The following is a 17,672-nucleotide window of genomic DNA, read 5'->3' on the forward strand; positions in this document are numbered from 1 at the left end:
TTGTATTTTTAGTAGAGACGGGGTTTCACCATGTTGGCCAGGCTGGTCCCAAACTCCTGACCTTGGCGTCCTAAAGTGCTGGAATTACAGGTGTGAGCCACCACACCCGGCCATTTTTTTTCTAATTCTGTGAAAAATTATATTGGTAATTCAATAAGAATAGTGTTGAATCTGTAGATTGTTTTGGGCAGTATGGCCATTTTAACAATATTGATTCTTCTAATCCACAAGCATGGAATGTTTCTCCATTTGTTTATGTCATCTGTGATTTCTTTCAGCAGTATTTTGTCATTCTCCTTATAGAAATCTTTTACCTCCTTGGTTGCATGTATTCCTAAGGTTTGTGTGTGTGTGTATATATTGTAAATGGGAGTGTGTTCTTGACTTGGCTCTCAGCTTGAACATTGGTGTATGGAAATGCTACTGATTTTTGTACATTGATTCTGCATCCTGAAACTTTGCTGAAGTTGTTTGTCACCTCCAGAAGCCTTTTGGTAGAGTCCTTAGGGTTTTTTAAATATAAAATCATATTGTCTGTAAAGAGAGATAGTTTGACTTCTTTTTCTTTTTTGGATGACTTTATTTCTTTCTTTTGCCTAATTGCTTTGGCTAGCATTTCTAGTATTATGTTGAATAGGAGTAGTGGGAGTGGACATCCTTTTCTTGTTCCAGTTCTCAAAGGGAATGGTTCCAGCTTTTGCCTATTCAGTATGATGTTGGCTGTGGGCTTGTCCCAAAAATAATAGGAGCTTGATGGCTCCTATTATTTTGAGGTGTGTCCCTTCAGTGCCTAGTCTGTTGAGGCTTTTTATCATGAAGGGATGTTGGATCTTATCAAAAGCTTTCTCTATGTCTATGGAGATGATCATATGGTTTTGTTTTTGATTCTGTTTATGTGGTGAACCACAGTTATTGATTTGCTGGATGTTGAACCAGTCTTGCATCCCAGAAATAAAGCCTACTTGATCGTGGTATATTAACTTTCTGATGTGCTGCTGGATTTAATTTGCTAAAATTTTGTTGAGGATTTTCACATCTATGTTGATTGGGAATATTGGCCTGTAGTTGTCTTTTTTCATTGTGTTTTGCCAGGTTTTGATATCAGGGTGATGCTGGCTTTGTAGAATGAGTTAGTGAGGAGTTCCTTCTCATTGATTTTTTGAAATAGTTTCAGTAGAATTAGTACTAGCTCTTCTTTGTATATCTGGTAGAATTTGGCTGTGAATCCACCTGCCCTTGGCTTTTTTTTTTTTTTTTTTTTTTGGTTGGTAGGTTCTTTTTTATGGATTCAATTTTGGAACCTGATATTGGTCTGTTCAGTTTTTCAATTTCTTCCTGATTCAATCTTGGGAGATTGTGTGGTCCCAGAAATTTACCTATTTGATATGGTTTGGCTGTGTTTCCACCCAAATCTCATCTTAAATTCCCACATGTTGTGGGAGAGACCCGAAGGCAGATAAATGAATCGTGGGGGCAAGTCTTTCCTGTGTTGTTCTCATGATAGTGAATAAGTCTCACGAGATCTGATGATTATATAAGGGGGAGTTTCCCTGCCCAAGCTGTCTTCTCTTGTCTGCCACTATATGAGATGTGTCTTTCACCTTCTGCCACGATTGTGAGGCCTCCGCAGCCACGTGGAACTGTAAATCCAGTAAACCTCTTTCTTATGTAAATTGCCCAGTCTCAAGTATGTCTTTATCAGCAGCAGAAAAACGGACTGATACACCATTTCTTCTACATTTTCTAGTTTGTGTATGTAGAGGTGTTCATAACAGTCTCCAAGGATCTTTTGTATTTCTGTGGGATTGGTTATAACGTCACCTTTGTCATTTCTGATTGTGTGTATTTGGAGCTTTCTTTTTTTTTTTAATCTAGCTAGTGATCTACTGATGTTGTTTATCCTTTCAAAAAACCAACTTTATTTCCATTGATTCTTTGTGTGGACTTTTATGTCTTAATTTTGTTCAGTTCTTTTCTGATTTTAGTTATTTCTTTTCTTCTGCTAGCTTTGTAGCTCATTTGTTCTTGTTTTTCTAGTTCCTAAGGGGTGAAATTAGATTGTTAATTTGAGATCTTTCTAACTTTTGAGGTAGGCATTTAGTGTTATAAACTTTATGCTTAACACTGGTTTTGCTGTATCCCAGAGACTTTGGTATGTTGTGTCTCTTTCATTTATTTCAAAGTTGTTTTTGATTTTTGCCTTGATTTAATTGTTTACTCAAACATCATTCAGAAGTCAATTGTTTAATTTCCATGTAATTGTGTGGTTTTGAGAGATCTTCTTGGTATTCATTTCTATTTTTATTCCACTGTTGTCCAAGAATATGGTTGGTATGATTTTGATTCTTTTGAATTGATTGAGACTTGCTTTATGGCTGAGCATGTGGTCAATCTTGGAATATTTTTTGTGTGCGGATGAGAATAATATACATTGTGGTTGATGGGTGGCGTATTCTGTAGATGTCTATTAGGTCCAAGTGTTGAGTTAAAGTCCAGAATTTCTTTGTTACTTTTCTGTCTCAATCTGTCTAATACTATCAGTGGGGAGTTAAAGTCCCTCACTAGTATTGTATGACTATCTAAGCCTTTTCATACACCTAGAAGTATGTGTTTTATGAACCTAGGTGCTCCAATATTGGGTGCATATAAATTTAGGATGATTAAGTCTTCTTTTTACATTGAACCCTTTATCATTACATAATGCATTTCTTTGTCTTTTTTACTGTTTCCTATTTAAAGTCTGTTTTATCTGATATAAAAATAGTGACCCCTGCTCTTTTTTGTTTTCCATTTGCATGGTAGATCTTTCTCCAGCCCTTTACTTTGAGCTCATTGGTGTCATTATGTGTGAGATGCGTTTCTTGAAGGATAGGTCTTGTTTTTTAAATTCAACTTGCCCCTCTATGCCTTTTACGTGGGGGTGTTTACACCATTTACATTCAAGATTCATATTGATATGTAATTTTGATCCTATTGTGAAGTTGTTAGCTGTGTATTGTGCAGTTTCTGTTGTGTTTTTGTTTTATATGGCCTGCAAGGTATGTACATGGGTGAGTTTTTGTGGTAGCAGTTGCCATTCTTTTCTTTCCTTGTTTAGAACTCTCTTAACAGTCTCTTGTAAGGATGGTCTCATGGTAATGAATTCCCTTAGCACTTTCTTGTCTGGAAAGTTAATTTTCCTTTGCTTATAAAGCTTAGTTTGGCAGGATATGAAATTCTTGGTTGGAATTTTCTTTCTTTCAGAAAGATGAATATAGATCCCCAGTCTCTCCTGGCTTGTAAGGTTTCTGGTGAGAAATCTGCTGTTAGCCTCATGGAGTTCCCATTGTATGTTATCTACCCTATTTCGCTGACTTTAAAATTTTTTCTTTGGCACTGACCCTGGACAGTCTGGTGACTATATGTGTTGGGGACGTTCATTTTGTATATTGTCTCTAGGTTTTTGTATCTGGATGTCTACATCTCTAGCAAGATTAAAGAAGTTTTCTTGAATTATTTCCTGAAATATATTCTATAGGTTGTTTGACTTTTCTCCTTCTCTAGGGAATGCCAATAATTCATAAGTTTGATTTCTTTATATAATCCCATATTTCTCAAAGACTTTGCTCATTTTTAAAATTCTTTTAAACTTTATTTCAGGCAGACAGGGTTAGTTCAAAAGAGTGGTCTTCAAGCTCTGAAATTCATTTTTCTCTTTGGTTTAGTCTATTGATAACATTTTCAATTGTATTTTCAATTTTTTTAGGTGAGTTTTCCAATTCCAGAAGCCCTGATTGATTTCTTTTTAAGGTGTTTATCTCTTCTTTCATTTCCTGGATTGTTTTAAGGTTTCTTTGTGTTGATTTCCAGCTTCATCTTGGATCTCATTAAGCTTCCTTATAATCCATGCTTTGACTTCCTTATCTGTATCTCTGAGTTTACATTTTGGTTAGGGACCATTGCTGGAGAGCTAGTGAAATCCTTTAGTGGTGTTACTACATTTAGATTTTTCATGGTGCCAGAATTCTTGCATGGGTTCCTTCTCATCTGGAGACACTGGCACTTCTAATTTTTGTAATTCTTTTCATGTGAGTAGAATTTTCCTTTTTCCCTTTAATAATATTATTATTTGTTTATATTTTATTTTTTCCCTTCCCTTTTCCCCCACTCCCTAGGGGGTATGACCATAGAGAATGCTGTTTTGGCTTTGCTACTGTAGCTCTATGTCTTAATAAAACTTTTGGCAGGTTTTATATTGGGCTGTGCAGTTCATCGTACAAGCCTGTAGATGGTACTTACAGTAAGAGCTGGCTGTAGCCAATGTGTTTAGGTATATACTTGACCCGTGTTTACTGGCAGAAACTATTGTTTTAGGCAATGGGCTAATTCCTAATATGCACAGTGGTCTGAGCTCCCTGCTCAGCCTTGAGGGGATGGGGAGTAGGAGCCAAAAAGGGTGTGTCTTGACTGGGCAGGTCTGTCTGCAGGTCTCTTGATAGCAGGCACAAGCACCAGTGCCAATAGAGAATCCAGTGAGTGTCCACCAGGTACTCACTGGTGTGCCTGGGCATGGAGTTGGGAAACCTTGGCTCTGAGTTCTCTGCACAGGGATGGGGGCAGCCTAAGCTCCTAATCTAGAAGAGTGGGTGCTTCAGATGCCTGAGATCTGCTTGTGTGTGGAGCAGAGATGGCCCCCCTGCACCAAGATCTCTGCACAGGAGGGGTAGGGTGACTCAGGCTGCTGGCCCAAGGAAGCAGGTGCTCTGAATGCTTGGAGATCTGTGTGAGCGTGGAGCAGAGAAGGTCCCCCTGTACCAAAATCTCTGCACAGGAAGTGGGGGGAGCAGTTGGGTCAGGCTGCTGATCCAGTGAGTGCATAGTCTGAATGCCTGGAGATCTGCCTGGTCATGGAGCAGAGAGTCCCACTGCTTCATGATTCTGGAAGGGTGGGGTGGCTCAGGCTGTTGAAACAGGTCAGTGGGTACTCTGAATGCCGGTGATCTGCCTGGGCATGAAGCAGAGAGAGAGTTCCCACACACCAGGATCTCTGCACAGAAAGGATGGGGTGGGTCAGGCTGCTGATCCAGTGAGTGAGTAATCCAAATGCCTGGAGATCTGCCTAAGTGTGGAGTAGAGAGAGCCCTGCTATACCATGATCTATGTGCAGAAAGGATGGGGTGGCTCAGGCTCTTGAACCAGGCAAATGGGTGCCCCAAATGTCTGGAGATCTCCCTGGGCTTGGAGCAGAGAGAGCCCTGCTGCACCACAATCTATGTCTAGGGAGGATGGCATAGCTTAGGCTGCTGAACCAGGTGAATGGGTATTCCAAATGCCTGGAGGTCTGCCTGGGTGTGGAACAGAGAGCCCCACTGTACCATGATCTATGTCCAGAAAGGGTTGCATGGCTCAAGCTGCTGAACAAGGCAAATGGGTGCTCTGAACACCTGAGATCTGCCTGGGTGGGGAGCAGAGGGAGCCCCACTGCACCATGATCTGTGTCCAGGAAGGGTGGGATGGCTTAGGGTGCTGAACAGGGTGAATGAGTGCTCCACATACCTGCATTTCTACCTGGAGGTTGAGCAGAAAGGGCCCCACTGCACCACAATCTCAGGGGAGCAGGGTAAGGCACTCAGCAATGGCACATACAGATAAGTTTGTGGTTGCCAAGCTGGCCCTGGCTGCAAGTCTCACTACCCAGAAGAAATTACAGCTGTAGCAGTTTTCCTCCTACCCCAGACTTGCAATGGGAAAAAGCACAATTCTAGCACCTACTGTTGAGGCACTTCCCACAATTCTGGCAGTGAAGGCTCCTACCCTGCTCCAGAACAGGGTGTTCAATCTCTGGCCTGAGACTAAAATGCCTGTATAGCCATGCTGCTGAGTCACCCAAAAATGACTGACTTTTTATGTGACCGGATTAAAAATGGCATCCTGCTCTCATCCCAGGTCTGGGAAAATGTCTACAGCTTTCTCCAGTGCCTTTCTCCTAAGTTAACTCGAGGGCTAGGGGAGAAACAAAGTGGTCTCTCTTGGCCTGGGTTGCATGGCTCTCCAGTAGAAAGATGAGTCACAAAGGGAAGCTCTCTACTTCTCTCATATACTGGGGCTTCACTCACTTTTATGAGGTAGATACTGTCATGGGAGTGCTGTTTGCCACTGTTCTTCTCTCTGGGATCTGGGGTGTCCCTCATGATTCCAGTGGGATTCCCATCTTCCTTCTTGAATTGTAGCTCACGGAGATAATTTTTATGCACTATCTTGCTACTTCAAAGTGGCTGAGGCACATTGAAAGCCTCTAATCCGCCATTAAATTCATCTTGCAAATACTTTTTTATAGGGTATTTTAAGCTTTTAAATCTACTTTTAAATATGGCCATATTTTAAAATATGGAGGTGGCATGGAAGAAATATATATATATATAAAATATATATATAAAAATACATATATATATATAAATACATATACATATATATATATATATAAATACATATACATATATATATATATATATATTTTTTTTTTTTTTTGAGATGAAGTCTCACTCTGTTGCCCAGGCTGGAGTGCAATGGCGTGATCTCGGCTCACTGCAACCTCCGCCGCCCAGGTTCAAGCGATTCTCCTGCCTCAGCCCCCTGAGTAGCTGGGATTACAGGCATCTGCCACAGCGCCTGGCTAATTTTTGTATTTTTAATAGAGATGGGGTTTCACTACCTTGGTCAGGCTGGTCTTGAACTCCTGACCTCGTGATCCACCTGCCTTGGCCTATCAAAGTGCTGGGATTACAGGCGTGAGCCACCGCGCCCAGCCTGAAGAATTACATTTTTAAAATGGAGATAAACCTATTTATCTGATGGCTTTTATTTTTTAACTTAGTGATATGATTTATGTAACATAAAATCATATAAAGCATACACACACAAATATTTCCCCATAGATACATTTTGAACAGTTAACTGTCGGACTGTCCTCCTCATTGTTCCCCAAAGGTCTTGCTTTCTTTTATCCTCTCTTGTGAATATCCTCTTCCTTTCTTTACAAAGACTTTGCTCATTCTCACAGCCAGCCATTTCTCTCTTGAATTCCTTTAACTTCAGCTGGTGTTATCCACAGTGTATCTTTTATGGTAGTTTAATTGCCTTCTGGTAGGTTTTGTCTTCTTAACTAGAACATAAACACTTGAGAAGTGAAGTCATAACTTATCTTTTTATATCTTCCAACAGTACATGGTAGCCTGAAAAATAACCTGCTAAATTGAGAGCAGCCAGTGTTGCATGTGAGATTAAGTGGCAGTATATAGAGAGGAAACCAGAATATTATGAAGTTTTCAGAAATCTAGATAAAGGAGTATTATTTTGAAGTTAATTCTCTAAATTACAACTTAGAAACACTGTAATTAGAAGAATCATCTGACTAGTGGAAAGAGCTATAATTCACACTATCACATAAAGGGCAAGTAACTTTGGCTTCAGTCTGTATCTCCAGGGACAGATGTGCTCCTGATCCTGTTGAGGAAACCAGAGTGGCTTACCTGACTTTCCTTAGGTTTATTCTAGGGGACTCCTTACAGTTGAACTTTGTCCCCAGCAGGGAGCAAGGCTGGGGACTCCTGGCAGTGGCGGCACTGTGTGCTCCATCCTGGGATTCAAAACACTTTGTTACTTGATGTCATGATAGGCCTTTTGAAGGGGGCCTGCCCCTCCACACCTGTGGGTATTTCTCGCAAGGTGGAGATGAGAGACTGAGAAAAGAAATAAGACACAGAGAAAAAGTATAGAGGAAGAAAAGTGGGCCCAGGGGACCTGCACTCAGCATAGGGAAGACCCGCACCGGCACTGGTCTCTGAGTTCCCTCAGTATTTATTGATCACTATCTCTACCATCTCGGAGAGGGGGATGTGGCAGGACTATAGGGTAATGGTGGGTAAAGGATCAGCAGGAAAACATGTGAGCAAAGGACTTTGTGTCATAAGTAAGTTTAAGGAAAGGTGCTGTGCCTCGATGTGCATGTAGGCCAGATTTATGTTTGACTTTACACAAACATCTCGGTGCAGTAAAGAGCAGTATTGCTGCCAGCATGTCTCACCTCCAGCCATGAGGCGATTTTCTCCTATCTCAGAAAATAGAATGTATGATCGGGTTTTACACCGAGACATTCCATTCCCAGGGACGAGCAGGAGACAGATGCCTTCCTCTGATCTCAACTGCAAAGAGGCCTTCCTCTTTCACTAATCCTCCTCAGCACAGACCCTGTATTGGTGTCAGGCTGGGGGACAGTCAGGTCTTTCCCTTCCCATGAGGCCATATCTCAGGCTGTCTCAGTGGGGAGAAACCTTGGACAATACCCAGGCTTTCTTGGGTAGAGGTCTCTGCGGCTTTCCACAGTGCATTGTGTCCCTGGGTACTCGAGACTGGAGAATGGCGATGACTTTTACCAAGCATACTGCCTGCAAACACATTTTTAACAAAGCACATCCTGCACAGCCCTAAATCCATTTAACCTTGAGTCAATACAGCACGTGTTTTTGCAAGCACAGGGTTGGGGCCAGGGTTACAGATTAGCAGCATCTCAAGGCAGAAGAATTTTTCTTAGTACAGATCAAAATGGAGTTTCTTATGTCTTCCTTTTTCTAGATAGACACAATAACAGTCTGATCTATCTTTCTTTCCCCCACACCTTTGGTGGACTTTTTATTATGTAAAGGGAAAGCCACAGTCCTGGGATGGTAATGATGAGGAAAGGGTTTAGGATCCTGGGAAGAGAACTGACTCTAACACAGCCAGGATCTAACTGCAGGGAGAAGAAGCATCTACTAAACAACACAATTTGATGATTTTCTTTATATGTCTTAATAGCTAACATTCCTGTCATTTAACAAACTTTCATTTTCACACTCCTGCTTCATTAACAACCACCATGCCATCATTCTTTTTTTAATTGATGGAAAAGCAGCACTGTTTGAGGCTAGGTACATGAAAAACATTAGCTTTCCTTCTTCAATCCCTCCAAATATGCTATTAAGGCAGCATTGTTAAAAAAAAAAAAAAAGATGGTCTTGTCAGTGGGCTCTAGAAGTCATCTAATATTTTATTTTAAATGTCCTCCTCATCTGTTTTTCTATTGTTATTTCCCTTTGTTATTCCCTAGCCTTCAGGAGCAGCTGTGTTTGGAAGAATTAGAATAGGTGCATGTATCCATGTTTTTTAGAGAATATGAGAAGAGTCAAAGACGTTTGGAGAAATAGTTTCCTGTATTAAGAAAGGGTGAGCCAAGAATAATGGAAACTGTGTAGGAATTGCTGGTTTGTGCCAAGGACTGTGCAGTGTACTTTTCATTTCTTTGATCTCTACAGAGGTGGGTATTGCTATTATCACTCTTTTATAGATGAAAAAATGATGCTTATGTAGGTTAAAAAATTTGCCGAAGGTCACGTGGCTATTAAGTGGTAGAATCTGAGTCAATTCCAGAAAGTCTCATACCAGAGCCCAGATTCTTGGCCCTTATGCTATTCTGCCATGAATTCCATTCAACAGGCAATAAATAGGAAAGGTTTGAGGAAACTTTTTCCCAAGAAGTCTCCAAAATCCTTTTGGGAGACAGTGAACATCCTTCTTTCATGAGGGATGGACACTTGGGTACTGGAGAACAGTGTTGTCCTCTTAAAAGCCAGGGCACTTGGATGAGGAACATCTTCAACTTATCACAGAACTTATGATCATCTTTTATTCAACATATATTTGTGAGGAGATGTTGGGGACAAAAGGAGTGTCTGTTCTCAGGTTTATGTCTAGTGCTAATAGAACAAATAGGCTTAATGGATGTAAAATATGTATTTAACAACTAAATATACAATTTTATGGCTTGTGTATTCATAGCAGACATTTATCAGATTCTGAGTATTATAATCAGCATCTTCTGGAGCAATATAAACAACTTGGCAGAGACTAAAACTAAAAATGAACTCTCCATTCCATCTGGAGTCCATACGATTCAGACACAGGTAGGATGATGTAGATTTGGTGGGGTATTTTCATTATATTTCTCTCTGCTCAGTTTCAGTTCCAGAGTCCTATAGTGTTTCACAGCTTGGAATCCTATTGTGAAGTTGGCTCAAGATTTTGAGGATCTCAAGATCCCCAGGGTCATAGAGGAATATGAAATTGATCAATATTTGTGGGACTTTCTGAATAATTTAGGTTAGCCGGGATATATTTTATTAGAGCATTTATTATTGAGCTCCTTCTTTCTGTCATGCACTGTAAACACAGGGCAAACTGCTTTCAGGCTTAAAGATCCCAAATGCATAGCTGAGGTAGCACTGAAAGAATTAAGGGTCAGTCCAGATTTTGGCATTCCAAGGGGGAGTGGAAAGGGCTTGGGTGTGCTACAACCGTAGCCATCCTGGTAGTGCCTGGTTGCTAATGTGATTCAAGACAGATCTTCTGGCATCCCTTGAACTTCGTTTTTCTTTGTCATTTCTCTAATATTTCCCTAAAAATAAGTATAATTTCCACTGTACCCAGTGCTAAAATAAGTGTTTTACACCAAAATCTACAAAATGACTAGCAGATGAACTTTTTCAGAATAAGAGAAACACATTGGTAGTTTCCATAAATTCTAGACTCTCTTTTACCCAAAATACAACTTTTAGAAAGGCTGCTTTAAATTTACCTCCTTAACATTTCTTTCTTCTTGAATGCCTTCTTCCAATGTTCCAACTGAACCTGATTAAAAAAAAAAAAAACAGTGTTAATTCAACCACTGAAGCAAGTGACTATTTCTATTAGTCCAACTATCAGATTAGATCAGATTCAAATCACACTCAGGACCTGTGATCTGAAATTGGTGGTAATCTCATTTGGTTAAAAAAAAGGGTCACATTTAAAAAAGTGATTATAAGTCTTTTATTATGGAGATGATATAATAAATGTGCAAAAAGTTTGGAAAGTAGAGCTACAAAATCATCTATCATTCCAATATCCCAAAATACTTTTATATTAATATGTATTGAGGGCCAGGCATGTTGCTAGCAATAAGGATACATAAGAAAGCAAAAGAATTAAGATCCATGTCTTCTAGGAGTTTTAAGTTAGTAAAACAGACAGACTAGCAAACATACAAAGAAATATGACGTGGTAAAAACAGGACTGTGTGTATGTTGGGCTATTGGAGCATGCAGGAGAGTCACATAGCGCAGTTTTGTGAATTTGGGATGTATCAGTGATGGCTGCTTGGAGAAAAAGCTGAGATTTCAAGGATAAGGAGTTAGCTCCATGAAATGAGGAGATGTGGGGAAGAGGATGTATAGAGAATTTCAGGAAAAATGAACAATATGGGGAAACGCTCAGGAATGGGAGGCCACCAGGTCTTTTATATCAGGTGAACCATTTGTAGTTTGGTATGGCTAGGTTTTAAAGTGTGGGGAGAGGAGGTAGCAGGTGAAAGAGCAGACGGTGAAGGGCCCAAAACCATGCCCTGTATATGCTTAATCATTTTTAAAAGCAGAGAATCAAGGTATTTTATTTTAATTTTTTTGACAATTTAAATATTTTATTGATATATATTAGCTGTACATATTTTGGGGGTACATATAATATTTTGATGCCTGTATACAGTGGGTAAAGATCAAATCAGAATAATTGGGATAACCATCACCTCAAACATTTATCTTTTTTTTTGTGTTGGGAAGATTACAATTCTTCTCTTCTGGCTATTTGGAAATATACAATATTTTTTTAACTATGATTACCGTACTATTGAATACTAGAACTTTTCCCCTCTAACTGTATTTTTGTGTACCCCTTAGTCAACTATTCTTCATCATCTCCTTTCCCTTTCCTTCTCAGTCTTTGATAACTATCATGGTACTCTATACTTCTATGAGATCCACTTTTTTAGTGCCCACATATGAATGAGAACATGTCGCATTTGTCTTTCTGTGCCTGGATTATTTAGCTTAAGATAATGACCTCTAGTTTCAAACACATTGCAGCAAATGAGAGAATTTTATTGTTTTTTTAATGGCTAGATAATATTCCATTGTGTATATACACACATACACACATATACACACTGCATTTTCTTTATCCATTTGTTGATGAACACTTATGTTGATTTCATATCTTGGGTGTTATGAACAGTGCTGCAATAAACATGGGAGTGAAGACATCGCTTCAACATACTGATTTTATTTCTTTTGAATATATACCCAGCAGTGGGATTGCTAGATCATATGGTAATTCTCGTTTTAGTTTATTTTTTTTTAAAGAAACACTGTACAGTTTTCCATAATGGCTGTACTACTTTACATCTCCACCAATAGTGTACAGGTGTTCCCCTTTCTTGGTGTATTTGCCAGTATTTTAAATTTTTTGTCTTTTTGACAGTAGTCATTCTAACTAAGGTGAAATGATATCTCATTGTGGTTTTGATTTGCATTTCTCTATTTTTAGTGAAGTTGAGCATTTTTTCGTCTATCTGTTGGTCATTTGCATGTCTTCTTTTGATAAATGTCTCTTCAGATCTTTTGTGTATTTAAAAATCAAGTACTTGTGTTTTTGCTATTGAATTATGTTCCTTATATATTCTGGTTATTAATACCATGTCAGATGAATAGTTTGCAAATATTTTCTGTTATTCTGTAGGTTGTCTCTTCACTTTGTAGACTGTTTCCTTTGTTGTGCAGAAGCTTTTTAGCTTGATATAATCCCACTTGTTTATTTTGGCTTTGGTTGTCTGTTCTTTTGTGGTCTTAGGCAAAAAAATATTCAGGCCAATGTCCTATAGCATTTTCCCAACTTTTTTTTTGTAGTTTTACAGTTTTAGGTCTTAAATTTAAGTCTCTAATCCATTTTGAGTTGTTTTTTTCTATATGGTAATAGATGGGAAACTTGTTTCATTCTTCTGCATATGGATGTCCAGTTTTTCTAGCACCAATTATTAAAGAGACTGTCCTTTCCCCAATGTATGTTCTTGGTGCTTTTGTTGAAAACGAGTTGGCTATCAGTGCATGGATTTATTTCTGGGTTCTTTATTCTGCTCCATTGATCTATGTGTCTGTTTTTATGCCAGCACCATGCTATTTTGGTAATTGTAGCTTTGTAGTATAGTTTGAAATCGGGTAATGTGATGCCTCTGGTTTTGTTCTTTTTGCTCAAGACTGCTGTGGCTATTCAGGGTCTTTTGTGGTTCCCTATGGATTTTAGGATTTTTTTTCTATGTCTGTGGAGAATGCTTGTTGGTATTTTGATAGGCCTTGCATTGGATTTATAGATTGCTTTGGGTAGTATAGACCACTTTAACAACATTAATTATTCCAATCTATGAACATGGAATATCTTTTAATTTTTTGTGTTCCTTCTTTGATTTCTTTCAACAGTGTTTTATAGTTTTTCTTGTAGAGATCTTTCACTTCTTAAGTTAAATTTATTCCTAGGTATTTTTTTTTTTGTAGCTATTGTAAATAGGATTGCTTTCTTCATTTCTTTTTCAGACTGATCACTGTTAGCCTATATAAATGCTACTGACTTTTTGTATGTTGATTTTGTATCCTGCAACTTTGCTGGATTTATCAGTTTTAAGAGTTTTTGGTGTGGAGTCCTTAGGTTTTTCTAAGTATGCTATTATGTCATCTGCAAACGAGAATACTTTGACTTCTTCCTTTCCAAGTTGGATGCCTTTATTTTTTTCCCTCGCCTAATTGCTCTGGCTTGGACCACAAGTACTATGTTGAATAGTGATAAAAGTGGACATCCTTGTTTTGCTCCAGATCTTAGTGGAAAAGCTTTTTAAAATTCTTTCCTCTTTAATATGTTATTAGTTGAGGGTTTGCCACATATGTCACATTTATTGTGTTGAGGTATGTTCCTTCTATATTCAATTTGTTGATGATTTTTATTATGAAAGGATGTTGAATTTTATTGAATACTTATTCTGCATTTACTGAAATGATCATAGGGTTTTCATCCTTGATTCTGTTGATGTAATACATCACATTTATTGATTTGCATATGTTGAACCATCTTTGCATCCTTGAGATGAATCCCACTTGAACATGATGAATGACCTTTTTAATGTATTGTTGAATTTGGTTTGCTAGTATTTTGTTGAGGATTTTTGCATCTCTGTTGATCAAGGATATTGGCCTATAGTTTTCTATTTTTCCTGTGTCCTTGTCTGCTTTTGGTATCAGGATGATGCTGGCCTAGTAGAATAAATTTAAAAGTATTTCTTTCTCTTCAATTTTTTGAAATAGTTTAAGTAGAATTGATATTAGTTATTATTTAAATATTCATTACAATTCAGTAGTGAACCCATTAGATCCTGGGTTTTCTTTAATGGGAGACTTTTTATTATGGCTTTGATCTTGTTATGTGTTATGGGTCTGTACAGGTGTTCTATTTCTTCATGTTTCAATTTTGATAGGTTGTATGTGTCCAGGAATTTATCCATTTCTTCTAGGTTTTCCAATTTGTTCGTGTATAATTTTTCATAGTAGTCTATGATGATCCTTTGTATTTCTGTGGTATCGGTTGCAATCTTTACTTTTTAACTTCTGGTTTTATTGATCTGGGGTTTATCTCTTTTTCTTAGTCTAGATAAGGTTTTGTTAATTATCTTTTTTAAAAAAAAATATTTTTGCCAACTTTTAAAATCATTATTATTTCCAATTTTATTTATTTCTGCTCATTTATTATTTATTCTCTTCTACTAATTTTGGGTTTGGTTTGTTCTTGCTTTCAAGTTCCCTGAGGTGTGTCATTAGATTTTTTTTTAAGAGTTTCTATTTTGGGGGTGTGGGTATTTATTGCTATAGACTTCCCACTTAGTATTGGTTTTGCTATATCTCATAGGCTCTGGAATTTTGTGTTCCCATTTTCATTTATTTCAATAAATTAAAAAAAATGTTTCCTTTAATTTCTAAATTGACCCATTGGTCATCTAGGTGCAAGTTTTTTTAAATTTCACGTATTTAAAAAAACTTTCATAGTTTCCAAAGTTCCTCCTCTGATTGATTTCTGGTTTTATCCCATTGGGGTCAGTTTCCATAGTTCCTCCTCTGATTGATTTCTAGTTTTATCCCATTGTGGTCATAAAAGATATTTGATATAGTTTTGACTTTTTAAAAATTATTGAGACTTGTTTTGTGGCTTAACATGTGGCCTATCCTGGAGAATATTCCATGTGCTGATAAGAAAAATGTATATTCTGCAGCAGTTGAATGAAATACTCTGTAAATGTCTGTTAGGCTCATTTGGTGTAGGGTCTAGTTTAACTCCAACGTTTGTTTATTTTCTGTCTTCATAATCTGCCCATTGCTGTAACTGGGGTGTTGAAGTCCCCTACTACTATTTTATTGCAGTCCACCTCTCCCTTTAGATCTCTTAATATTTGCTTTACATATCTGGGGACTCTGATGTTTAGCGCATACGTATATTGACAATTGTTATATCCTCTTGTTTAATTGACCCTTTTTTATTATATAATGACCTTTTTTGTTCTTTTTTTGGTAAAGATTTCGATTTAAGGTCCATTTTATCTGATATAAGTTTAGCTACTCTTCCTCTTTTGGTTTCTGTTTGCATGGAATATTTTATACTATCCTCTCATTTTCAGTGTACATGTATTTTTATAGGCAAAGAGTTCTTCTCATAGGCAGCATATAGTTGGGTTTTATTTTTTTAATTTATTAAGCCATGCTTTATCTTTTAATTGGAGAATGTAGTCCATTTACATTCATTGTTACTACTAATAGGTAGGGACTTACTACTGCCATTGTCTTACCTGTTTTCTAGTTGTTTTGTAACTATTCTCTTTCTTTCTTCCTTTCTTACTATCTTCCATTGTGTTTAGTTATTTTTTTCTGGTAGTACGTTTTAAATAAGTTATTTATTTATTTATTTTGTATTTATTTTTTATTTTTATTTATTTATTTTTTTAAGTTTTTTTTCTTTTATTATTATACTTTAAGTTTTAGGGTACATGTGCACATTGTGCAGGTTAGTTACATATGTGTACATGTGCCATGCTGGTGTGCTGCACCCACTAACTTGTCATCTAGCATTAGGTATATCTCCCAATGCTATCCCTTCCCCCTCCCCCCACCCACAACAGTCCCCAGAGTGTGATGTTCCCCTTCCTGTGTCCATGTGATCTCATTTTTCAATTCCCACTTATGAGTGAGAGTATGCGGTGTTTGGTTTTTTGTTCTTGCGATAGTTTACTGAGAATGATGATTTCCAATTTCATCCATGTCCCCACAAAGGACATGAACTCATCATTTTTTATGGCTGCATAGTATTCCATGGTGTATATGTGCCACATTTTCTTAATCCAGTCTATCATTGTTGGACATTTGGGTTGGTTCCAAGTCTTTGCTATTGTGAATAATGCCGCAATAAACATACGTGTGCATGTGTCTTTATAGTAGCATGATTTATAGTCCTTTGGGTATATACCCAGTAATGGGATGGCTGGGTCAAATGGTATTTCTAGTTCTAGATCCCTGAGGAATTGCCACACTGACTTCCACAATGGTTGAACTAGTTTACAGTCCCACCAACAGTGCAAAAGTGTTCCTATTTCTCCACATCCTCCCCAGCACCTGTTGTTTCCTGACTTTTTAATGATTGCCATTCTAACTGGTGTGAGATGGTATCTCATTGTGGTTTTGATTTGCATTTCTCTGATGACCAGTGATGATGAGCATTTTTTCATGTGTTTTTTGGCTGCATAAATTTCTTCTTTTGAGAAGTGTCTGTTCATGTCCTTCACCCACTTTTTGATGGGGTTGTTTGTTTTTCTCTTGTAAATTTGTTTGAGTTCATTGTAGATTCTGGATATTAGCCCTTTGTCAGATGAGTAGGTTGCGAAAATTTTCTCCCATTTTGTAGGTTGCCTGTTCACTCTGATGGTAGTTTCTTTTGCTGTGCGGAAGCTCTTTAGTTTAATTAGATCCCATTTGTCAATTTTGGCTTTTGTTGCAATTGCTTTTTGTGTTTTAGACATGAAGTCCTTGCCCATGCCTATGTCCTGAATGGTAATGCCTAGGTTTTCTTCTAGGGTTTTTATGGTTTTAGGTCTAACGTTTAAGTCTTTAATCCATTGTGAATTGATTTTTGTATAAGGTGTAAGGAAGGGATCCAGTTTCAGCTTTCTACATATGGCTAGCCAGTTTTCCCAGCACCATTTATTAAATAGGGAATCCTTTCCTCATTGCTTATTTTTCTCAGGTTTGTCAAAGATCAGATAGTTGTAGATATGTGGCGTTATTTCTGAGGGCTCTGTTCTGTTCCATTGATCTATATCTCTGTTTTGGTACCAGTACCATGCTGTTTTGGTTACTGCAGCCTTGTAGTATAGTTTGAAGTCAGGTAGCGTGATGCCTCCAGCTTTGTTCTTTTGGCTTAGGATTGACTTGGCGATGCGGGCTCTTTTTTGGTTCCATATGAACTTTAAAGTAGTTTTTCCAATTCTGTGAAGAAAGTCATTGGTAGCTCGATGGGGATGGCATTGAATCTGTAAATTACCTTGGGCAGTATGGCCATTTTCACGATATTGATTCTTCCTACCCATGAGCATGGAATGTTCTTCCATTTGTTTGTATCCTCTTTTATTTCCTTGAGCAGTGGTTTGTAGTTCTCCGTGAAGAGGTCCTTCACGTCCCTTGTAAGTTGGATTCCTAGGTATTTTATTC

The 17,672-nt window shown here is 37.9% G+C and overlaps 1 protein-coding gene across 9 annotated transcripts in view; it reads right to left on the reverse strand.

Moving 5' to 3' along the window:
* Nucleotides 1-17,672, reverse strand: part of SLC9C1 (solute carrier family 9 member C1) — a 153,319-nt gene that overhangs the window by 3,451 nt on the left and 132,196 nt on the right. For all 9 annotated transcript variants that reach the window (NR_135297.2, XM_011512718.2, NM_001320531.2 and 6 more), the window contains 2 exons: nucleotides 10,649-10,701; nucleotides 7,509-7,615 (listed from right to left, as the gene is read on the reverse strand). Coding sequence is in view for 8 of the 9 variants with exons in the window: in XM_011512718.2 (XP_011511020.1) it covers nucleotides 7,509-7,615; nucleotides 10,649-10,701 (160 nt within the window). In the remaining variant the exon portion in view is untranslated. The remainder of the gene's footprint in view (nucleotides 1-7,508; nucleotides 7,616-10,648; nucleotides 10,702-17,672) is intronic.

This window comes from Homo sapiens, chromosome 3 (assembly GCF_000001405.40).
Source record: "Homo sapiens chromosome 3, GRCh38.p14 Primary Assembly".
In the NCBI taxonomy this organism is placed as follows: Eukaryota; Metazoa; Chordata; class Mammalia; order Primates; family Hominidae; genus Homo; species Homo sapiens.